At 40.0% G+C, this 25,263-nt stretch overlaps 2 long non-coding RNA genes across 2 annotated transcripts in view, besides 2 other annotated features; both read left to right on the forward strand.

Moving 5' to 3' along the window:
* Nucleotides 1-1,746, forward strand: part of LOC124903186 (uncharacterized) — a 35,583-nt gene extending 33,837 nt beyond the window's left edge. Inside the window, exon 4 of the long non-coding RNA XR_007063828.1 lies at nucleotides 1,079-1,746. This is a non-coding gene — a long non-coding RNA (uncharacterized LOC124903186). The remainder of the gene's footprint in view (nucleotides 1-1,078) is intronic.
* Nucleotides 1,747-2,073: 327 nt separating this feature from the next.
* On the forward strand, nucleotides 2,074-4,541 carry LOC105370271 (uncharacterized). The gene is made up of 2 exons (XR_001750039.3): nucleotides 2,074-2,667; nucleotides 4,262-4,541. It is a non-coding gene; the product is annotated as an uncharacterized LOC105370271 (long non-coding RNA).
* Nucleotides 16,389-17,033: an enhancer, noted in NCBI's record as "NANOG-H3K27ac hESC enhancer chr13:78051956-78052600 (GRCh37/hg19 assembly coordinates)". NCBI's record gives its function as "activates a minimal SCP1, AML or CMV promoter by ChIP-STARR-seq in primed H9 embryonic stem cells {active_cell/tissue: H9 hESC(primed)}" and the evidence as "EXISTENCE:reporter gene assay evidence [ECO:0000049][PMID:30033119]".
* Nucleotides 17,034-17,676: an enhancer, noted in NCBI's record as "NANOG-H3K27ac hESC enhancer chr13:78052601-78053243 (GRCh37/hg19 assembly coordinates)". NCBI's record gives its function as "activates a minimal SCP1, AML or CMV promoter by ChIP-STARR-seq in primed H9 embryonic stem cells {active_cell/tissue: H9 hESC(primed)}" and the evidence as "EXISTENCE:reporter gene assay evidence [ECO:0000049][PMID:30033119]".

Consider the following 25,263-nt stretch of genomic DNA (forward strand, 5'->3'; position numbering starts at 1 on the left):
ATAGTGATGTTCAAAGATGCTTAATGATTGGAGGGTACTTGAGGGCTGAGGAATTTTTGATGCTTCGTGACCGCAGGAACAATATTTTTCTTATTACTCCGTCACCTGGCACAAAATCAGCACTCAATATACATTTGCTGAAAGAATGAATGATTCATTTTTTATTTTGTAGTACTTTAGAGCCTACTTCTCTAGAGCCTATATTTATTTATGCATTGAATACTTATTAAATGCCTACTTTATGCTAGGTATTCTCCTGGGTCATGAGTATAGAAAAAAATGAATAAAATTTGATACATGCCCCCAAAGAAATTTCAGTCTGCTATTCGCAATGCTTTGATCTATAGATTGAGGCTATTTGTCTGCAGACTTTTTTCAGCTCATTCCTGGTAGAATTGAAAACAACTTTTTTCTTTATTTTTAAAAATTTGAATAACTAGTCTTCATAACATTTCTCCTCACAATAGTCCATTTCTACAAAATCTTTACAAGCCTTGAATTTTGAGAAACACCAATGTTTGTGTGAACTTGCTGAATTAGATTCACCCACAGCTGCCTTCCTTCCCTCCCCTACTTCTTCTTTCCTTTTACATTGACTATCCTCTAAATATGAATTGTGTGGCAATCCTTCCAATGTGATTATCATGACGTTATCGAGTATTGGGCGAGGGGTAGGGGCTATTATTCTGTTTATCATAGACCTACCTGGGCTCTTAAAAAATAAGTTCTTTATTTCTTTCCAGTTGAAATGGATTCTGACTCTCCAAATCTTGGCCCAAATACTGAGCTGATCTTTCCTGCCCTAATTCCAGTAGAATGGCACCTGACACAATACTTTTGTGGAAGAGTACATCACATGGTATATCAGAATGAATTCTTTATGTGTGTATTTGGGCAGGTCATATACATTTTAGTGAACTAAACATGAACTTGGTTTTGCAAAACGTCACCTTATATTTTGGCACTTTTACTAGTAGTGTCACACTGGCTGATTTTAGTAATGGTGTATGAATGTTATATAGTACACTAATATTTTCTAACTTTTTTCCTTATCTTTTGTACTTTTAACTTTTTCCAGAGAAACTAGAGGAAAGCTTTACAACATTCTATCTGGAATAGAAGGTGTGGGTTGCAATCATTGAGGTGATGTAATTACCACTATTCTTTTGAAGTGAATTTTAGACCAGGATAGTTTATAAGATACAGCAAATCATCAATAAACATTTAGTATGCCAGTCACTGTGAGTCTATAGGAATAAAATGTGCTCCTGCCCTTGAGGAATCCACAGTTTACTTAGAGAAAAAGGCATACACAGAAGAGATAATTAGCAGCCGGTGAGAGCAAGCATCATGCGAGAAAATTAAATAATGGGGATTCAAATCTTATTGGTAGATGACATTCAGACTTTAAACATTCAAGCAAAGATATTTCTTTGAAAACTGGAGGTGAATGTCACTTGCTTAAGTTCATATTTGGAACAAAGGAAATTCACAATTATAATACATGTTGAAATGAAATTTGTAATGTGGAAAATCTTTAAATTTACTTACGTATTTCTTCATGAGGTCATATTTAGAGATTTAGTGGCATTGGTGAATAGGAAATAATGTACAGAACATTTAAATGGCTATTTCAGAGATTAGAAAAGAAGTAAAAGCAATTAAAATATGTTTTCAGTGTTGGGACTTTTGTTCATATAAGACCATTGAGTGAACATGCCTAGTGAGTGTGAGGACATAGGTTTGTGGGGAAAGAAAGAACAGAATAGTTCTTGCTCTTTTGTTTTGTTTTTAGAGATAGGGTCTTGCTCTGTCGCCCAGGCTGCAGTGCAGTGGTGCAGCCACAGCTCACTGCCAGCCTTGACCTCCTGGGCTCAAGTGATCCTCTTGCCTCAGCCTTTTGAGTAGCCAGGACTACAAGTGTGCACCACCATGCTTGGTTAATTAAATTTTTTTTTTTTTTTTTTTTTTTTTTGTAGAAACAGGGTCTCACTATGCTGTGGTCAACGATAATTGCACTATTGCACTCCAGCCTGAGTGACAAAGCAAGACTTTGTCTCAAAAGAAAAAAAAGCTCTCCATGTGGATGTGGCCAAAGTTAAGTTGGGGCCATATTCAATGTGTTACAATTACTGGAGACAAAGCAGGAATGGAGATATTTAAGAACTATTACCTTAGGTCATGAGATTTGCATTCATTACCACCTTCACCTAAACCGCATTTTATTCCACTTGGAAGCAAGGTTGGTGGTTTCCGGCAGGCAATAAAATTCAATGACAGAAATTCCAATCTAATAAGTGACGGCTACCCAGCCTTTAAAATTGTACAAAGTCTTGCTTTGTCACTCAGGCTGGAGTGCAGTAGTGCAATTATCACTCACCACAGCATAGTGAGACCCTGTTTCTACAAAAATCGTACCTATATAACACCAAAATAACTTGCCTTAGATCTGTTTTGCTTAGGATTTATTATTCTGGCTTTAAAGTCTTTGTAGTCAAACTCATGCTGCAAATTAGCCAACAGTAAGTGCTGAAAAGAATCTAAAACAAAACTTAGATCAACCTTTTTATTTTAGAAATGAAAACTATAGAGATGAACTAGAGAGACAATGGAATACTGTCCTTTGGCTGAGTCCTGCTGAAACCTGGTGGTGACACACAGAAGCAGGTAATGATGAATCTGCATAACTAGGTCTTTGATTTGCTTAGGACATAAATGTCTGAATGACATGAACCCAGTAATATCAAATACTATTCCTTATGAAGAAAGATTAACTAAGTCTTTTGAAATTTGGGTAATAGACTAGTGCTTGCACAAGCTGAGTCAAAGATTCCAAAAGTTTTACCCTTAAACACATTTTGGGGAGTTGCTGTCCTTTCAAGCAAGAAACAATTTTTACCTTTAAAAATAGCTTCAATTGTTTATTAAGCTTATTTTTCTCATATCAGAAACTTATTTTCAAGGCAAGGACCTGCATTTAACATTGCACATGCCTTCAAAAAATTGAACGCATCGAAGGACACTAAAGCTGGGTGCATATAATTGACATGAAGAAAGCAGTTGAGGCCTCACAAAATTCCTGCTTGTGAACAAGTAGTTTTGTCTTAAATTTTCCAAATTAGTTGTCCTATTTACCAGGTTATTGTTCAATTTCCTACTTGCATTGCCTGGATCCACTCTCAGTATGGCAGAACTATAGTGACTGAAAATTTGGTCAGTGATCTGTTGTGGCCAGTCTATCAATTTGGTGAATGGCAAGAACCTGGGAGTGTTAGTACCTATACTATGCAAAGTGAGCTTTATGTTTTGCAGTGGCTGAGCCCTATAAACTCTGGTCATAACACATTAATTCCTTGTTAACATAGAGCCACTTTTTGACATCAAAATTTCCTCAATAGTGATTATATAGTCATAGGTTCTTAATTCACTTGGAGCTTTGATGTGTATGGTATCAAAAACTTAGTGTATAATATGGTCTATCATTAAATAAAAATTGGCATGGTAGAAAGCACAAATGGATGATAATTTAGACCTATGTTTGAAGTGTAACAAAGCATTAGTTTAAGAATTTTATAGAAATGTTATGTTTTTGCTCTTTAAAAAGAACCTGGGCAACTTATCTGCTTCAGCAACTTTTGGTTTTATGAATACCTTCCTTTACCCAACTCTCCCTTTCCATCCTTTCAGCACTTACTTACTCAAGTGAACTTGTGGATCTGTTTGTCATTTTTTTTTTTTCTGAGACAGAGTTTCACTCTTGTTGCCCAGGCTGGGGTGCAGTTGTGCGATCCTGGCTCATTGCAACTTCTGCCTCCCAGGTTCAAGTGATTGTCCTGTTTCAGCCTTGCAAGTGACTGGGATTACAGGCATTCGCCCCACACCCAGCTAATTTTTGTATTTTTAATAGAGATGGGGTTTCACCTTGTTGGCCAGGCTGGTCTCAAACTCCTGACCTCAGGTGATCTGCCCACCTCGGCCTCCCAAAGTGCAGGGATTACAGGTGTGAGCCACCATGCCTGGCCCTTGTAATGTGTTTCTACATCAACAGTTGTTATATTGGAGCTTGAGTTTTACAAGATATTTAATTTTTCCTTAAATTCTTTTGATAAAACAAGGATAATAATATTCACTGTGCATATTTATTTTACTGATGTACATAAATGTATGTAAAGTTTCTGCTGCTTAATAAGTGCTCAGGAAACTAATTAGGATGTGTGTTCATCCAGAGATATAATGGTGGTTTCTCTTTCTTTCTCTTTAGGGTGAATATTCAAGAAATACTGTTAAATCACAAACTACTCAGATGCAAACACAAGAGTGCATGCTGGAACTGGCTTATGAAACACAAGCCAGCTGGCTGCCCTAGAAAAAGTCTGAGGAAAAAGCCTTCTTCATCTAATTCATAAATGGGAAATTGAATTTCCAGGCTTAGCTGGCTTATTTTTATCTTCTTTTGTTTGTTTGAACTATGTATTGCTGAATAACTGTGACAACATTGAAAAGAGGGTTCATGAGTAAAGCAAGAGTTGATCTTTCACAAATCAGTGCTATAATCATTTCTATGGGAGAGGCTACAGATGATTCCATGCAGGGAGCACTCTGTATGAATGATGTGGCCTCAGGCTAGAACACTTGAAAAGCAGCAAAGGAAAACTTTCTGCCCAACTTATTAGAGGGGTGTGTGTGTGTGTGTGTGTGTGTATCTCACATGAATATATTATACATATGTATATATAACATATATATATATACACACACACACCACTGGTGTTTATTTTCACATGCTTTTTTATTTTTATTTTATTTTATTTTTAAAATAGAGACAGTGTCTTTCTCCGTCACCCAGGCTGGAATGCAGTGATGTAATCATGGCTCACTGAAGCCTCGAACTTGAACTCCTGGGCTCAAACGATCCTCCTGCCTTAGCCTCTTGAGTAGCTAGGACTATAGCCACATCCTACTAGGTCCAACTAATTTTAATTATTTTTTGTGTGTGGAGATGGTGGGGGCGGGGTGTCTCTCTATGTTTCCCAGGCTGGTCTTGAACTCCTGGCCTCCAGCAATCCTTCTGCCTTGAGCTCCCAAAGTGCTGGGATCATAGGCATGAGCCACCGTACCCAGCCTAGTTTCACACTTTTATACACTCTCCCAAGTATCACAGGGCTGGAAGCACTTTGATTTTGGTGTATTGGGTATAATTTATGTTCTGTCAATGAAATGCAATCATGCAATATTCCAAAGGCAGAATAGAGGCTCAGAGAACCCATATGTTAAAAAAAATTATTCCTTTGACAGATAAATAACACTTTTTCTAATTTATTGATTTTGTAAATTTGGAATTGTGAAGAATCTCCCCTCCCCCAAGAAAAACCTGTTTGTTCAGCATTCCTTGCAATGATTGAATCCTTTACCAGACAAACAAGATGAATGAATTATCTTTTCTTCTTTTCCTTTGGCTTACTTTTTCTGTGACATTGTTTGAGAGACTGAGCACAGTATTTTGAAACAGATGACAGGGTTGTCACCTTTGAGTGGCACAAATTTAGTAGCAACAGTAGGGCGTTTTATGACAATTTCTTTACAGTATGAAATCCAAAAGTTATTCTCTGTGCCTTCATGAGGAAATGACATTGAGTGGCAATATTTAAGATGGTGATTGGGAGGAAAGGCGAGTGTGAGAAGGGCAGCCTAATTTTCATGAAATGAAACAGCCCTAGACTTGCAAAATGATAATCGTATTACTGAACAATGTGATGATTCTCTCACATGAATTGTTCACTTCCAGGAGGCATTCAATCAGGCAAGCTATCAAGAAGATCTGGCCTTTGATAAACACATCCACTTTAATAGCAGTTCCCGAGATGAAATGTTTGGATTTATGGCACCCAATCACTGCAGCTTGAAAATATGAAATAACTTGCTAGTGAACTGCCATGAAAACCATTACATTATGCTAGGGTCTTCCTTTTAGTAAGATATGGGATGTTATTAATTGATTAATCTCCCTCCCTATTCTTAAAAATGATTTAAGGAGGGTGGCCATTTGCTACGATGGAAAAGTACGGCTTCCTGGTCTGATATAAAATGAGAAATTGCCCAAGATGAGCTCTAAGATGTCTTCTACATAACATCTTCTATGATACAATTTTTGGGAGTCTGTCCTTCAAAACTTCATTACAAGGGGTCATATTAAGATGAACTCTTAATAATAAGCCTCCTTATGTGGGGCTCACAGAGACCTAGATTCGTCCTAGAATCCACTGGGATTTGAACTGTCATGATTCTGAAGCTTACATGGATCCACAGAGTTGATGTCAACTTAATTCCTTGGAAAATTAGGAGACAAAGATTTGTTCTCTGTTCTTATTCCTAACTTGGTGAGTTCCACTAATGGTTGCTACCTTTCAGAGGCACAGACTTTGTAATAACAGGGGATGGCGCATTACAATTTCTATGTTACACAAATTCTAAAATTAAGTTTAGTGATTGGGAGGGAAGGTGATTGAGAAAAGTATACTTTTCAACTAATGAAACAACATTTAACTTCTGAGAAGGTACTTGTTGTATTACTTAGCAATGTGGAGTTTCATCCCAGGCTGAATAGATTTCAAGGCAAACGGTGTCAGTTATAATAATGCTGAGAATTTTTTCTGGCCAATGTTATATAAGAAAAGGTTTTATTAAAGAAAGTTTAAGCAGCATGATTCATAACAGCCAAAAAGCGGAAGCAACCCAAGTGTCCACAGCCAGATCAATGAATAAACAAAATGTGTTATATCCATAAGATGAAATATTTTTCAGCCTTAAAAGGAAGGAAATTCTGACACATGTTGAAATGCTACAACATGAATGAAACTTGAAGGCATGCAATGTGAAACCAGACACAAAAGGACAAATACTATATAATTTCATTGATTTGAGGTACCTAGAATAGTGAAATTCATAGAGATAGAAAGTAGAATGGAGGTGGCCATGGGTTTGGGGAGTGGGGAATGGGGAGTTATTGTTTAAAGGCTACAGAGTTGCAGTTTGGAAAGATGAAAAAGTTCTTCCCAAAGTTTTGGGATGGTGGATAGTGGTGATGAATGTACTAAAAGCCACAAAACCACACACTTACAAATGGTTAAAATGGCAAATTATATATGTTACACATATTTCACCACAAGTATAATACTAAATTTAAAAAGAACAGAAAGAGTTTAAAATGACTTCAACTACATCTTCATATTTATTCCTTTTCCTAATTTAAGAGGGAAATAATTTCAGTTCCCCAGAGTTCTGTGTTTCTGGTATTTTAATGTGGAATAAAATGTTACCAACTCGTTTTTGCTTCTATTAAGATCTCGCTCTTGGTAGGCCACTGGCTTTGAGAAACATCTTGTGTCTTTGAATTCAGATAAAATAGAGTTACAGCTAATTACATCTTGGATTTGTTTTACAATTACAAATATAGAAGGTAGATGAAGAAAAATTATGTTCCAATCTTTGAAAACTGCCATTTGGAAGATTGTCTACATGATGGTTTACATTAAAGGTGCAATATTAGCATGGCTTTTTATTACTAAATATATTTTAAAATATACATTTGGGCATTAACTTTAAGATACTTATAAAATATTTTCTTATTTGCTAAAGCGAATCCCTTTGATTTATAATATACTTCTTGTCCATTTATAAATATTTAATGAAACCTTACTCTTTTTTTTGCTTTTTATGGTGCATAAAATAGATTGATAGTGTCTCAAAAGTTTTTTTATTTTTCCATTTTCTGTTATAAAAATAATCATGAATACCTTTATGTGTCAAAATTTCAAGCCAATACTACTGAAGTGAGAATAATTTTTCTACTTTTTAAAAGAAAAGTCACAATCGTCTGTCAAGTGTTTTAAAATTCAGATTCTCATTCAAAAATTTGCATGAGATTTATTTTAAAACAGTTTTTTTTCTTCCCAAGATGATAGTAAAAGATAGGAGAGAAAAGAAAGAAAAGATGGTAAAAGATGATGGTAAAAGACACGGCTTGACGCACCTACACATACGCTGATAGACTATAGAGCACCTTAATTTTTTTCCCTTTTTGATCTCCTCACCTTTTTTTTTTTTTTTTTGAGATAGAGTCTCACTCTGTCACCCAGGCTGGAGTACAGCAGCGCGATCTCGGCTCACTGCAACCTCCGCTTCCCGGGTTCAAGGGATTCTTCTGCCTCAGTCTCCTGAGTAGCTGGGACTACAGGCATGCACCACCATGCTCGGCTAACTTTTTGTATTTTTAGTAGAGACAGGGTTTCACCGTGTTAGCCAGGATGGTTTTGATCTCCTAACCATGTGATCTGCCTGCCTCCTAACCTTGTGATCCGCCTGCCTCAGCCTCCCAAAGTGCTGGGATTACAGGCGTGAGCTACTGCGCCCAGCCTTGATCCCCTTTTTATGATTAATCTGTTATTACGTGAGTTTTGAGATAAATTTTCATAAATGCTTAATTTTTCATACATAAAATGATTAAAATAATTCTTACAAAGAATAGTAAGTAAGTAATTTTTAATAAGTATTTTTAACATTGTGTTGAGGTTAAAGAAGAAGGCATATACAACATAAGCACACACTCATATGGAAGTTTCAGGAAAGTAATAAGCAGAGAAGTCCTGTAAGTCATGAGTTGGGGCAGGGGCAGGGATTGGAAAGGCTGAACTTTTATTGTTAAATATACCTTGGGCAGTAGTGACCTTGGCTTTGGGCAAGATTCCTTAATTTTATTTTATTCCCAAATCTGTTGCAAAATGGAGAGTTCGCAGGAGGTGGTTATTTCGGTGAGAATGAATTTCATGGTGGAACGGTCATGTGACTGGAGTCCATCAAGGGTCAGTTGTTTCCTTGTGAGTGGTTTGACTTCCCTTTGGGTCAGCCTGAGTGAATGTCAGGTGCTTTTTCACATGGTGAAAGTGAGCTCTTCTGTAGCCACCTCTGAAGAAAGCTGGCCACTATGGAGCAGGGGGCAGAGGGGTAAAGAGCTCCTCAATTCTTTGCGGGCAATTCCCAAATCCAAACTCCTCTGAAAACTCAAAGACTTTGTTTTTTTAACTTCATTGGCGATAGTATTGGACCCAACCTGATGTGGGACTATTTGTAGATTTAACTGAAAATGTTAATATTAGTGTTTGATTATAGGTGCTACCCAGGCCCTGTATGACATCCCATGTGATTTTCCACCATATTATTCTAAAAGTCAGAATGCTCCTGAATTCCCAAACACCTTTGATCAGGAAAGATCTCAATATTATGCTAAAAGACCCCCTCAGTTGAGGATGAGGATACAAACAATCTGTCTTCACCTACTGGATAGGATGAAATTAGTCAAAAGGGTGAAGGAGAAAAGAGACTTGTCTAGCTACCCTACTGCAACGTTATAGATAGAGATCCAGAGGTCACAGTCCCCTTACCTGCTCAAGGCCCTGTGACTCAAAAAAGAGAAAAGTAGGATTCTAGTCTGTCTATTTATCCCTTGATAAAAGCATCAGTTCTAGGCCTGCGGTAGTCTCTAGGATGCTTCGGACAAAGCAATTTCCCTAGCTCTGTAAGTGAGACTATTAGCAAACTGAGGTCTCAGGGTTGGGTGATATATGTGGAAGGAGACTGTGAATCTTTTGGAGACCGTGAGCGATGTTAAATCAAAATTTTCACTGCCACGGCATTTCACCATTGTGAAATGTCATTTTCTTAGACAATTAGGTCTCCAAATTCTGCCAAAGGCCACTTAGTCTTTCCTTTCTCTTCTAGGAAGGAATGTGCCTAAATTTTCCCAGAATAATGGGTGTTTCCTTCAGAGAAATAGATTGCTCAACCTGGCTCAGTGGCAGCCAAATCCAGAGAATAACAAAATTTAGGGCAGAATTTTTTTTTCATATCATACCAAGAGTACTGTATAGAAATCCAAGGTACTGCATGATGGTCTGTGCTTAACTATGACAAAAAAAAAAAAAAAAAAAGGGACTCAGAGGTTGCTATTGCTTAGTTATAACGGTGACAAACCCCTTAAGACTTTGATCAGACACTCAGGTAGTAACTTGTGGCATAACTATGGAGCATCGCCTGGGAAAGAATGGGAAACTACTTCCCTGACCAGTCTTTTAGCTTGTTTCCAGTTTAGGAGACTATAATGCAAACTGTCTATGCAAAACCAGGAATAACCTAGCTCTTTTAAGAGAGATCTGAGGCTGAGGGAATGAAATACTTAAATGATTAGATAATTAATGATTAAATGCTGCTGGATCCAAGATTGGTGCTTTCTACTATTTCCTCTTTGTTCCTGGGCAGGACCTGAAGGTCCCTTGCAAAACCTCCAGATTGCCTTAAAGAATCTCTCCAAGCCTTGCTACCTACCTGCATTCTATACCTCCTTCTCCTTCTTCTCATGTCCCTGCCTCTTTCTCCCCCATTCCTTTATACCTGGGTTGTTTCTTCCTACTCAGCCCTTTAGTTAGTTGTCTTATTAAGTTGTATTTTTTTCTGGGTCTCTACTCGTTTGTTAAGAGCAGTTGATCACCCTCAGTAGTGACTGACTAGAGGAACACTCTCCATGTTGGTTTCTGGCACAGAGTTTGTGCTCACTGAATGTGTTTCAAATTGAATATTCACAGTATCTCCGCCACAGCTATCTCTCTTTAGTCTGGCATTTCGTGGACGAGTGATGAGGAGAAACCAGCAGGTTTCTACATTCACACAAATTCTCAGCCACTTGGTTTTTCCCTTCCAGCTTGAATCATGAAGAGCTTCAGAATAACATTGGTTTTCTCAGACTGGTGTATTAGCTGGGACAGACCAACTACTATCACATAGAATTTCAAAATTTCAAAGTTTAAAATTGGAATTAAAACTCCAAAATAAAACTTAATTTGTCACGTGTTTTGCAGGCCTAGCCTAGTTGGCTGACCAGTGGACAGCTTTCCTCCAGGCAGCAATTCAGCCTCTAGATCCTTAGACTTCTCCATTCATTGGGTGCAAAGGGAAATAAGAGAGAAAGAATTGTGGGCAGGAGGACGTCATAGACCAGGCCTGGAGGTTGGACCCATCACTTCTATTTAGGTTCCATTGACCAATACCCAGTCACAGGCCACATCCAACTGGAAAGACAACTATGATATATTGCCCACCAGTATACTTGGAAGAAAGGCAAAGTGGTTTGGTGAACCACTAACTGGTTGCTGGCACAGATGTCGTGGATGAATATCTGTTTTTAGTAATCAAATGATTGCTAAAATGTTAAGAAAAAACATGGTAGCCTTAAAGAGTATATAGAAAGTCCTCAGCGATTCTTACAGTTGGGAAACCATTACATTTTGATATATTGAGTTATGGAAATGAAGTTGAATATATAAAAGTATATTAAAGCTTAAAATATACATGGTTGATATACCAGAATTATGTCTGCCAATATGTTAAATGTTTTCCATGACAAAGGAATTTATGGTATTACAGCATATATTGAAGACAGTTCAGTTACATTTTTGCCATTTTTGCAGGATGTTTGACCCCTTCCTATTTCTCTTTTCATCTTTCAAAAGAAGAAAAGCTGCTTTATTTTATACGCTTACATGTATAATCACGAAAAAACAAATGCAGAAATGAAGGAGAAAGGAGGAAGCAATAAAGGAAGAAGGAAAAGAAGGAAAGAAGAAAAGAACAAAGGAAAAAACACACTAAAGACAGCACCATCATACTTATTTTTGTAACCATTTTGGTGTTATTTTGTAGTAATTGATTGCATTAAATTTTGAGGGTTTTTTTTTGCCCCAACTGTGAAGAAATAAACAAGCAGAATTGCATTTCATTGTTCGTTTTGGCATTGAGTTTAATTGTTTTCCTTTTCTTTTAGTTATATTAGCTCATCCCTCCATTCATCAGCACTCACTGCAGGCAGGATTCACTCCCAGTACAGGAGTACTATGGGTTTCTGGTGAAATGCACATTAAAAATAATCAAAGTGCAAGCAGTTTCACAAACACTGTAACATGGAGGAGTTTCCGAAGAACGGCAGAGCCTGGAAAGAATAAGTAGGAACATAGCTACAAACCAGACAAGAGATCAAAGAAATCAACTTCTTCCTAAAACAACCAACTTTACAAAATTATCATCATGGGAGCTGCATGGACAATTCAAATGGCATTATTGAGGGTGAAGATGGAGAGACAGAAAGGGCTCAGAATGGAACGACAAATGGCCTGCATTAGCAGTCTGCCTATATTCAAGAAACTAAGCTTAATGTTTTTCCACCTAGTCCGTCTGTCCGTCCGTCCTTCCTTCCCCCACTTCCTTCCTTTTGTATATAGCATCTTCAATGTGAGAGATGCCTTGTTGAGGAATATCAGTTAACATTGTCCAGTGGTGTTCAAGAACCTCAAGGCTGACTGTCATTGGCAAAGAGGCTGAACAGCTGGCACATCAGGCAGGGGTAGGTTGTGTCAGCACAGACACTATGAATGAGTGGAAGCCCTGGGTTTTGCCTCTGGATCATGGATTGGAGTGTATTATAATCAAGGTGCTCAGGTAAGAGTGTTGGGTGACCCCCATCTGTTGCTTACCTTCCGCATTGCAATCTCATTCATTCAGTCCACTTTTATTCAGTTACTGTTGAGCAAGATAGTCCTGGTCAATTGAAAAATGTGTGAGGCATGCCTATGACCTGCAGTGAATCCATGAGTCGGTAACAACTTCAATTCTTGCCTCCTTAGAAGAAAGAATTCCACTGAGAGGCATAAGGCAAAAGGAGCAACTAAGTTTTTTTTTTTTTTTTTTTTTTGAGACGGAGTCTCCCTCTATCGCCGGGGCTGGAGTGCAGCAGCGCGATCTCGGCTCACTGCAACTTCCACTTCCCGGGTTCAAGCGATTCCCTTGCCTCAGTCTCCTGCATAGCTGGGACTACAGGCGTGTGCCACCACGCCCAGTTAATTTTTTGTATTTTTAGTAAAGTTGGCGTTTCACCATGTTAGCCAGGATGGTCTCGAACTCCTGACCTCATGATCCACCCGCCTCAGCCTCCCAAAGTGCTGGTGTGTCCGGAATTGGTGGGTTCTTGGTCTCACTGACTTCAAGAATGAAGCCGTGGACCCTTGGGGTGAGTGTTACAGTTCTTAAAGGTGGCGTATCCAGAGTTTGTTCCTTCTGATGTTCAGATGTGTTCAGAGTTTCTTCCTTTTGGTGGGTTCCTGGTCTCACTGGCTCAGGAATGAAGCTGCAAACCTTCACAGTGAGTGTTACAACTCTTAAGGCAGCGCGTCTGGAGTTGCTCATTCCTCCTGGTGGGTTCGTGGTCTCCCTGGCTTCAGGAGTGAAGCTGCAGACCTTCGCCGTGAGTGTTGCAGCTCGTAGAGGCAGTGTGGACTCAAAGAGTGAGCAGCAGCAAAATTTATTGCAAAGACCAAAAGAACACAGTTTCCACAGCATGGAAGTGCACCCCAGCGGGTTGCCACTAGTGGCACAAGCAGCCTGCTTTTATTCTCTTATCTGGCCCCACCCACATCCTGCTGATTGGTCCATTTTACAGAGAGCTGATTGGTCCATTTTACAGAGAGCTGATTGGTCCGTTTTGACAGGATGCTGATTGGTGCGTTTACAATCCCTGAGCTAGACGCAAAAGTTCTCCACGTCCCCACTAAATTAGCTAGATACAGAGTGCCCACACAAAGGTTCTCAAAGTCCCCACCAGAGTAGCTAGATACAGAGTGTCGATTGGTGCATTCACAAACCCTGAGCTAGACACAGGGTGCTGATTGGTGTGTTTACAAACCTTGAGCTAGATACAGAGTGCCAATTGGTGTATTTACAATCCCTTAGCTGGACATAAAGGTTCTCCAAGTCCCCACCAGGGTAGCTAGATACAGAGTGTGGACTGGTGCCTTCACAAACCCTGAGCTAGACACAGGGTACTGATTGGTGTATTTACAATCCCTTATCTAGACATAAAGGTTCTCCAAGTCCCCACCAGACTCAGGAGCCCGGCTGGCTTCACCCAGTGGATCCCGCACAGGGGCCGCATGTGGAGCTGCCTATCAGTCCCAGGCCGTGCGCCGGCACTCCTCAGCCCTTGGGTGGTGGATGGGACTGGGCGCTGTGGAACAGGGGGCGGCGCTCCTCGGGGAGGCTCGGGCCGCGCAGGAGCCCACGAAGTGCGGGGGAGGCTCAGGCATGGCGGCGGGCTGCAGGTCTCCAGCCCTGCCCGGCGGGAAGGCATCTAAGGCCCGGCGAGAAATTCAGCACAGCAGCTACTGGCCCAGGTGCTAAGCCTCTCACTGCCCCGGCCCGCTGGCCGGCGGGCAGCTCCGAGTGCAGGGCCTCCCGAGCCCACGCCCACCCGGAACTCGCGCTGGCCCACAAGCACCGCGTGCAGCCCCGGTTCCCGCCCCCACCTTTCCCTCCACACCTCCCGGCAAGCTGAGGGAGCCGCCTCCGGCCTTGGCCAGCCCAGAAAGTGGCTCCCACAGTGCAGCAGCGGGTTGAAGGGCTCCTCAAGCGCGGCCAGAGTGGGCGCCAAGGCTGAGGAGGCGCCAAGAGCGAGCAAGGGCTGTGAGGGCTGCCAGCATGCTGTTACCTCTCACTGGGATTACAGGCATGAGCCACCGCGCCCGGCCTGAGGTAAGTTTTAGAGCAGGAGTGAAAGTTTATTAAAAAGCTTTAGAGGAGAAACAAAAGAAAGTAAAGGACACTTGGAAGAGAGCCAAGTGGGCAACATGAGAGATCAAGCGTGTGGTTGACTTTTGACTTAGGTTTTTATATGTTGGCACACTTCCAGCGTCTTGTGTCCCTTCTCACATGATTCTTCCCTTAGGGAAGGCTGTTGGCATGCGCAGTGGCCTGCTAGCGCTTGGGAGGTGAGCATGCACGGTGTGTTTACTGGAGTTATATGCATGCTTACTTGAGGCATTCTTCCCTTAGCAGTTGATTGCCCCTAGAACCCTAGAGGGTCATATACCAGTTAAACTCCACCATTTTGCTTCTTAATGCACATGCTTGAGCCCACTTACCCAGCCCCTGAGATCTTACTGAGAAGCTACTGATCACCAGTTCCAGGTTTTTTCTTTATATTGGAAGACTGCCTTTCCCTGGCACTGGCTGCAACCAATTATTATTTTAGAGAGACAGTTAACAACCACCTGACCATCACCTAATGATCACCTGACATTACTGGTTGGTAGGTGGGGAGCCCTCTCCTGCTCTGCTCATGCCTGACTAGCTACCTATGTAACATGACCACACTCTTTAGGAATGTACAATAATTATAATATGAAATGGTCAGGGCCATCTGTAAGGTAGTTAGAAACCATGAGGGTACACATCTCTCTTCTGGGAAGAGTAAGGAAGCTTCAGAGAGAAATTCCTAGAATCTATTCCACTGCACATTTTGACAGGGCCCCAAAGCATCCCAGACTTGCAGGCACTTTAGAATCAGAACTTTTACCCTTGCATATGACTGATTTATTTTACAATGTGTCCTGGAAGTAAGATAGTATAGTCTAGGTTCTTTCCCTGCAGTAACTGGACCAGGTATACAAAACCTCTTTGGTACTCAGAACCATTATAGCTTATGAAGACTTCTTCAGGAATATTAGAATTGCTAATTCGGGTTCTCTTGTCTCTTACAGTAAGTAGAATGACCCCAGTGAATCCAAGTGGCCAAATATTTTAGGCTTGTCTGATTCTACTGCTTCCATGCAAATCTTGTATGGAAGTGGGGGAAAAAGGCAAATCCAGGGTCACACAGATTATTAGAAAAGAGGTTAGAATAAAATGTGGTCACAAAAATCCTCATCGGATTCTTACAGTAGATCATATGATTTGCTTTTCTGTGTGCCTATATGAAAAATATGTACTTATTGACAAAAATATATGAGTAAATATGTTCAATAAATCAATCGCAGCTATGTTTTAGATAGATGATTGGAGAAACTGTCATGGACCTAAGAATCACACTTTTTCTCTTTACTGTCAACAAGTTAGGATGAATCATTTTACTCTGAAGAATAAGGATATGGTTATTTCTCATCATCGTTCAAGCTTGAGTGTGTTCAAGCTTGAGTGTGTCTAAGAGCCTTTTCCTTCAAGGAGCCAGCATGCCATCCACGGAACTCACAACACTGGTTGCCAGAGTTCTCTGCTTTAGAAAATAAAAGTGGGTTGGCTATGACTTCTGTGCTTATTCACTACACCTATGCCTAGAGTCCCTAAAGATTCTTTGGTTGCTTTTGACAATTGCAAATTGTATCTACAGCCACATTTCCATAGTCAATTCAGTGGTAGCTGATTTGAGAACTGCTTCTTGATGTACTAGCACAGTATAGAGATTTTTCTACTTTGAAATGGCTAAAAGCAAAATTATAGGCTGGAAATATGGAAAATATTGTATGATGCAGAGGACCTTAAAATGCTTTCTAGCTTTAAGGTCTAAGATTCTGCAGAGTGCTTAGAATTAATTCTTGATTGTACCCTCCCTACCTCCAGCCCAATTCTCTTTTTGCAAGGATTTTTAAAGAATCAGAGCTGAATGTTTCAATGTCTGTCACCATTTTATCTGCATTTTCACAAGCATTTTAGCGATCATGTGAGTCATTTCTTTCTCACCTCCCACAAATAGCGTGGGTTAAATGGAGCTGTGGGAATTTTTTTTTAAAGTAATAATTCTGACTTCACAATCTTTTAAAAAGACATTGCTTGCATTAAACAGACACACACACACACACACACACACACACACACACACTCAGCAAACAACCTACCAATACTGTTGCTTTTGAATGTTCTGTAAGGTCGAATGCCAATGATTTGTGTTTTGTTGTGTTACGGTTGCCCAGCCTCCTTGATCTATTGTAGGCAGGGTTAAATTACAGAGTGAATTGGGGGACTGACCTCATTACATCATCTGTGCTGAATCACTGTCCTACAACTGTCGTCCTGAAGGCTCGGGCCAGACGTGGTAGTGCTGTCTTTCATTAATGTTACATTAATATGATCAAGAAGATACTTTCTTCTCTTGCTTCTACCCCCACCCCCACCCCTCAGGTCTCTCATTTGCTAAACAATCAAATGCTTTCAAAATCCTGCAAAACAGCTTTCATTTTAAGGTTCTGATCAAAGGACTTGCATTGCAACATCCCCAGTATTTTCACTGCCCTCTAGTGGCTGTTTTCAATTACATTTTGTTTTACAAAGAGGATTGTATCCTTGTTTCTTTACCGTGTTGGGTCTCAAATAAAAAGCTCTGTATGGCAAGTCATCTTCTAAGAACGTGATGTTATTGTGTTTGAAAAGAACAAGAGAAGAATGAGCAATTTTAATCTCGATTTGGCCTCATCTTTGCGGCTGTCTGAAAACTCCAAACCTCTGAAGTGTTAAGTAAATTAACCCACATCTTCATAGCCCCCATTGGTGAATGCAATGGTTTAAGAATACTCGCTCTTTGAAGACCAAACTGCTTTTGTCTGCAACACTCTATTTAAGGGAAAACTAATTCTGGAATCCTGTCCAACCTCATAGCATTCTGAATGATTTCTACTTCCACTCTAATTATCAGCCAGAAGTATTATTTGTAATCATCAGCTTTCAATAATTTAAATAGGTAGTTGTTTGGCCAACTGTTTTTATTCAAAATGCCACAAAAGCTAAAATTCTATGTTGAATTTTATCCAGATGCTGTCTTCTTTTAGGACATGCCAGCTGAGACAGAGCAGTTGTTCATTTTTTTAAAATACCATGTCAGAAGCACATTTTTACTTCATGAATTCAACTGCAATCTAAAACGAAGACTACAGATTTATGTCTCAGTTCAGTTCAGTTGCTTGCCAAAACCAGAGGGAGGACATTTTTTTAAGAATTAATTTAATGGCCAGGCGCAGTGGCTCACACCTGTAATCCCAGTGCTTTGGGAAGCCAAGGCAGGAAAATCGCTTGAGCCCTGGAGTTCCAGACTAGCCTGGGAAACCTAGTAAGACACTCATCCCCCCTCCCCAGAAAAAGTCAAACTTGGTGGTGCATGTGCCTGTAGTCCCAGCTACTCGGGAGGCTGAGATGGGTGGATCATTTGAGCCCAGGAGTTCAAGGTTACAGTGAGCTGTGATGGTGCCACTGCACTCCAGCCTGGGCAACAGAGAGAGACCCTGTCTCAAGAAAAGAAAAGAAAAATAATTAACTCAGCATGCTAAATCACCAAACATAACCACACCCAAGCTATTTTATTCCTCAGAGACTATGGAGATGAGCTTTTCATTGTCTTTTTGAATTCTAGCAAGAACAGTTTTGGTGGTTCCTTTTTTTTTTAATCAATGAAAACAAAGCCCACTGTAAATAAATGTTTTCATGTATCACTACTTAATACTTCTATAAGGGTCCTAAATGCCTTTTGTCTACGTTTTCTTTAACACTCTTCTATACAAAGTAGATCAACCTCTTAATGTCAAAAAGAACTGAATCAGACAAAATCCAGATTTCTTAACAAATTTCTATTGTCTCAAACTTTTTTTAGTTCAATAATATTTTCCTTCTGGACAGCGAAGGAAATCCCTCTGAAATGTTCCAGAGCTGTACAATTGCAAAATTGAAAAGTTAGGTTAAAGGTTCTTCTGTGAAATTTGCTAGAGTTTGCAAGTCCCTGATTTTTTCACTGAACAATTTCAGGGAAGGTTTGTGTCTCCCTTTGTCTGGGTCTTTGTTCAAAAAGTGGCTAATTGCTATTAGCAAATGCAAATAAAAGACAGTTGCTTCAGTGCAGCTTGATTGCCAGTTCCCAGTAGGTTCCCTCCCGTTTCTAACTGTGGCTTTTCCAAGTTTTCATCCATCTCTGCAAGTCCTCCCCCTCCCCCACTCCTGACTCCCTACATTCACTGTCAGCAGATGCCCTTGTCTCTTACCTCACGGAGGAAGCAGGATCTATTTACAATAACTCCTTCAAGTTCCTTCTATTCAGTAAGCATACTTAACTTTGCAATCTTGCCCTTACCTCCTTTCTCAGGAGTGGGTGGGGTAGAGCAAAAAGACTCCTCTTTTATTTTTTTCTCTTATTTTCTGAGACCAGTCTCTCCACCTCGCTCCCATTTCCTCAGAGCCCTTGCTGCATCCTTGTCTCTTCTCTCTCATGTATCTTTCATCTCCCATTGGTCCCTGGCTTAATCCCCTCGACATATAAACATGACTCAGTTTCTCCCAGGGTATTGATTTAAGTTCTGAGAGTCCAAATAACAGCCCCCAGTTCCCTCCAGAATACAGAGGCCACAAATGGCCCCTTGAACAGAAGCTGTGATGATTTTGGTCATGTGGTCCTGCTACCCTGGCCTCATTGGATTGGATTATGGATACGGGTGGCAGCCGAAGCAGCTCAGATATGACAGCCAAAACTACATTAATGCCTGAGTTCTGTTTGGGTTCCTGTTTGCAAGCAATAGAAAATAATTCTGGCAAATTTAACCTCAACGCGGGATTCCCTAGAAGGATATCTGTGTCTCACATATCTACAGGAGCTTGGAGGACCTTGCTTTGAAAAGAGACAGAAACCGAAGTGCTTTGGGGCTGTGCATGGGAGCACAGCAAACGTTACATCTGAGGAGCAACAGGTTCAGCTTACGGCCTCTGCTGCTTCTTCTTCAATGGGGTGGCCCAGAGCTGTCTCTACACTTGTCTGATAGGAAGAGGCCAAGTGACATGTGTGTTCCATAGCTGGGCTGGGCAGGAAGAGAGAGCGTTGGCCCATTGGCTACTGTGTGGAATGTGGATTCCATTTCTACATCTACGTAGTTGGAGATTCCTCCAAAAGGAAATTGGAATGTCAACAGGAGTTGGGTGCTGGATAGCCCAAACCAATGAATGGTGGCTACAGATGGTTACTCTAACACAATGAGGCGCTCTGTTGGAGAGCATGAATGTGAGACACAGAGAGAGAGGAGTAGAAAGCAGGAGGAACAGAGACGCAATAGCAGAGAGAAGCAAAGATGAAATAGATTAAAAGAGCAGCTGGGAGATAGGGAAGTCATGTCATGAAAATGGTAGAGTCATGTGAGTAGAAAGGACAGATGGATATCCACTCTGAGGAACGGTGAGACAATGGGTGACCATAGGTACTGGGTTGCTTGTGACACTGGAGCTGGCACAATTTTGGAGGAGAATGTAGTATTACCTAGTTCACAGGCTCTTGAGTCAGAGAATCATGGGTGTCCCTGGGATTCAAATCCCAGCTTCATCACTCACCTGTCCTGTGACTTCATTTCTTAACCACTGCATGCCCCAGTTTCTTCATCTGTGAAAACTGTAATTACGACACATGGTTGGTGTAAGAAAGGAAAATGCATATAAGTGCTGAGCATAATTCCTGACATATTAAATGTTAGCTGTTATTATTGCAATTGTTATTTTATGTCTCCCAAAGTTTTGCAAATCCTATTCTAGTCCTTTATCTTCATAAAATATTTCAATTCATCTTCTATTTTTAAATTACATTAATTTTTTAACTTTCATTTTAGGTTCAGGGGTATGTGTGCATGTTTGTTCTATAGGCAAATTGCGTGTCACAGGGGTTTGGTGTACAGATTATTTCCTCATCCAGGTAATAAACATAGTACCTGATAGGTGGTTTTCTAATCCTTACCCTTCTACTACATTCCACCCTCAAGTAGGCCCCAGTGTCTATAGTTCTTTTTTTTGTGCTCATGTGTGTTGAATGTTTAGCTCCCACTTATAAGTAAGAACATGTGGTATTTGGTTTTCTGTTTCTCTGTTAGTTTTCTTTTCTTTTATTTATTTATTTATTTATTTTTGAGATGGAGTCTCGCTCTGTTGCCCAGGCTGGAGTGCAGTGGTGCAATCTTGACTCACTGCAAACTCTGCCTCCCGGGTTCATGCCATTCTCCTGCCTCAGCCTCCCGAGTAGCTGGGACTACAGGCGCCGGCCACCACACCTGGCTAATTTTTTTGTATTTTTCTTAGTAGAGATGGGGTTTCACCATGTTGGCCAGGATGGTCTTGATCTCCCGACCTCGTGATCCACCCATTTCGGCCTCCCAAAGTGCTGGGATTACAGGCGTGAGCCATGGATAATGGCCTCTAGCTCCATCCATGTTGCTGCAAATGACATGATTTCATTCTTTTTTATAGCTGTGTAGTATTCCATGGTGTATATGTACCATATTTTCTTTATTCTATTGTTGATGGGCATTTAGGTTGATTCCATGTGTTTGCTATTGTGAATAGTGCTGCAATGAACACCTCTGCATGTGTCTTCATGGTAGAATGATTTATATTCCTTTGGGTATATACCCAGTAATGGGATTGCTGGATCAAATGATAGTTCTGTTTCAAGTTCTTTGAGAAATCACCTAACTGCTTTCCACAATGGCTGAAATAATTTACATTTCCACCAGCAGTGTATATCTGTGCCCTTTTCTCCACAACTTCACCAGCATCTGCTATTTTTCAAATTTTTAATAATAGCCATTCTGACTGGTGTGAGATGGTATCTCACTGTGGTTTTTATTTGCATTTCTCTAACGATGAGTGATGTTGAGCATTTTTTCATATGCTTGTTGGCCACATGTATATCTTCTTTTGAAAAGTGTCTGTTCATGTCCTTTGCCCACTTTTTAATGGGGTCATTTGTTTTTTGCTTGTTTATTTGTTTAAGTTCCTTATAAATTCTGGATATTAGACCTTTGTCAGATACATAGTTTGCAAATAATTTCTCCCATTCTGTAGGTTGTCTCTTTACTCTGTTGATAGCTTCTTTTGCTCTGCCATTAGGTTCCATTTGCCAATTTTAGTTTAGTTAGATCCTATGTGTCAATTTTTGTTTTTGTTGCAATTGCTTTTGGCATCTTTGTCATGAAATCTTTGCAGGGCCTATGTTCAGAATGGTATTTCCTAGGTTTTCTTCCAGGGTTTTTATAGTTTTAGGTTTTCCATTTAAGTTTTTAATTCATCTTAAGCTTATTTTTGTATATGGTATAAGGAAGGGGTCCAGTTTCAATCTTCTGCATATGGCTAGCCAGTAATGCCCAAACCATTTATTGAACAGGGTGTCCTTTCCCCATTGCTTGTTTTTGTTGACTTTGTTGAAGATCAGATGGTCATAGGTATGTGGCTTTATTTCTGGGCTCTCTATTCTGTTCCATTGGTCCTTGTGTCTGCTTTTGTAAGAGTACCTTGCTGTTTTGGTTACTGTGGCCTTGTAGCATAGTTTTAAGTCAGGTAATGCGATCCCTCCAGCTTTGTTCTTTTTATTAGGATTGCTTAGGCTATTTGGGCTCTTTTTTGATTCTATATAAATTTTATAATAGTTTTTTTCCAATTCTGTGAACAATGTGATTGATAGTTTGGTAGGAATCTCATTGAATATGTAAATTGCTTTGAACAGTATGGCCATTTTCACAATGTTAATTCTTCCTATCCATAAGCATGGAATTTTTTTTATTTGTTTGTGTCATCTCTGTTTTCTTTGAGCAGTGTTTTGTAATTCTTGTTGTAGAGATCTTTCACCTTCCTGATTAACTGTATTCCTAAGTATTTTATTTTATTTATTTATTTTTTGTGGCTGTTGTGAATGAGATTACATTCTTGATTTGGCTTTCAGCTTGGATGTTGTTTGTGTGTAGAAATGCTACTGATTTTTGTACATCAATTCTGTATGCTGAAACCTTGCTGAAGATGTTCATCAGATGATCTAGGAGCTTTTGGGCAGAGACTATGGGGTTTTCTAGGTGTAAAATCATATAGTCTGCAAAGAGAGAGAGTTTGATTTCCTCTCTTCCTATATGAATACCTTTTATTTCTTTCTCTTGCCTGGTTGCTCGGGTTAGGATTTCCAGTACTGTCCAATTCATCTTTTAAAATCTAGCGTAGATGTTACCTCCTCTGAAAATCCATCCATGAGTCTTCCCTGTGTCTTAGGCAGAAGCAACAATGCAGTTCATTCTCTATTCAGGTCAACACTTATTGAGTGATTACTATATGCAAGGCATAGTATTTTCTAGATGCTGGAGATATAAAAAAATGTCACAGACATGGTTTGGTTCCTCAAAAGCCTATAATTTAAAGGGAGAAACAGAGACACCATAATTTTAATATCTTGAAGTAAATATCACGTATGGTGGAGCTATGCCAGAGCAGCACCTTGTTTTGTATTTTCTTCCACCTAAATCATGCCTCTACTTCAGCAACTATGTCATCATTGTTTAGTTGCTTGCACATCTACCTCTCTTAGCATGAAGTATACTTTCTGAGTTTAAGAATATGTCTTTTTCATCTTTTCATGTCCAGGACATATGAGGCACTCAATATCTGTTGAATAAAGCATGATTTCATTATATTTTCATTGAAAAACTTAATTATTAATTTTCAGAAGTGTCATCCCTAGTAGGTTACTATTATTTAAGAGAAAAAGTTATGTTTTATAATTCTACAGGTTATTTCCTTACCCCAAATTAAGGTTTGGTCACTGCCCAATAGTGTCACTTTTAATCTGGTTCAATTTTTTTTTAATTTTTAATTTTAATTTTTGTGGGTACATAGTAGGTGTATATATTTACAGGGTACATGAGGTGTTTTGATATAGGCATGCAATATGTAATAATCACATCATGGAAAAAGGGATATCCATCTCCTCAAGCATTTATCCTTTGTGTTACAACAATCAGTTATACTTTTAGTTATTTTAAAATGTACAATTAAATCATTACTGACTATAGTCACCCTGTTGTTGTGCTATCAAATACTGGGTCTTATTCTTTTTTTTTTTTTTTTTTACTATTTTTTTTATACCCATTACCCATTCCCATCCCCCTCTTCCCCACTTACCCTTCCCAGGCTTTGGTTGCCATCCTTCTACTCTCTATCTCTACAAGTTCAATTGTTTTGATTTTTAGATCCCACAAAGAAGTGAGAAGATGTGATGTTTGTCTTTCTGTGTCTGGCTTCTTTCGCTTAACGTAATGATCTCCAGTTCCATCCATGTTGTTGCAAATGACAGCATCTCATTTTTTAATGGCTGAGTATTATATAAGTACTACATTTTCTTTATCCATTCAAGGGTTTATCCTACCTCTTCGGTGCTTCTTTCAGTGATATGATGTTAAAACTAGGTACTATAAGTGCTTATCTGAGGTTTGGTTCTTATAAAGGTACATTTTTTGTGTGTAGATAGTTGATAAGTTGGTGTCCTTGCTTGGGGAGGTGAGGCAATCGGTGAAGGCTTCTATTCTGCTATCTTGCTCTGTTCCTCCTGGTTGAGATTTTAATAAAAAGAGGGAAGTGGGTCTGGGGGATGCCAGGCCAAAGCCACTGGGTTGCTGCTATGAGGTCCCGAGGGAGTCCCACATAGTAAGATAAAGCACCACGTTTGGGGAAGGCTGAGCCATGATGGGGGCCACTAGGGCTGGAGGAGCGAGTAGTGACAGAGATGGAGCTGGCAGATACATGATGGGTGGCAGAGTCTAAGGAGGAACAGAGGAGGGAGGGAGGATGCTGTGAGGCATCCACCATGTGTGATAGGGAAGAGAGGTTGTGTGCCTGGAGCAGAACAAAGAAGAGCTGAGGCCATATAGGCAATGGCAGTAGAGGAGATGGCTGGGGCGGGGGGGTGGGGGGCATTCAATTATTGATTTGAGGTGATGTGAAACATTGGCAGGCATAACAAATGCTCAGGGGAGGGTGAATGAACTATTTAACTGTAAAAAAGAGGGATAAATGGGAGGGTCAGTATAGTGGTTCGTGGCTGTCAGGTAGACATCCTCCCAGCTCCAAGTAAGCCAGTGTGAGTGGGGTAGAGAGGAGAAGAGGACCCCACAAGTAAGGTCCAATCCAGATTGTGATGTCCTTCTGTTACCTGAGTGTTATGTTATACAACTCTGTACCAGAAATGCGTGTGGCTCACACAGTATGATCATTCACTCATAATGTTAACATGTAATTTTCTCTGCTTTTGACCTGTTGGGTGAGTTTTGTCAACATTAATTTCATTGGTCTCTGTGTCTTCTTTTATGGTTTATGACTATGGTTTGTGTTGATTGATGGCCAGACATTGTTTGAAAAATATAATAAAGCATTATGGAAATGCTGAGTAACTAGATTATTTTTGCTTATATGACTCAGAATTGGCAACTTTACAATTTATGTTTTATCTCCTGTGGCTGATTACCTTGATTGATCAAGGCAAATGGAAATGGAGCCCACTTTGGGTGGCGTGGAGCATGGAGCCAGTGGACATTGGCAAAGTAGAGATGACAACCTTTCAGAGCTGGAAAG

The sequence above is a fragment of the Homo sapiens genome, chromosome 13 (genome assembly GCF_000001405.40).
Source record: "Homo sapiens chromosome 13, GRCh38.p14 Primary Assembly".
NCBI classification, from domain to species: domain Eukaryota; kingdom Metazoa; phylum Chordata; class Mammalia; order Primates; family Hominidae; genus Homo; species Homo sapiens.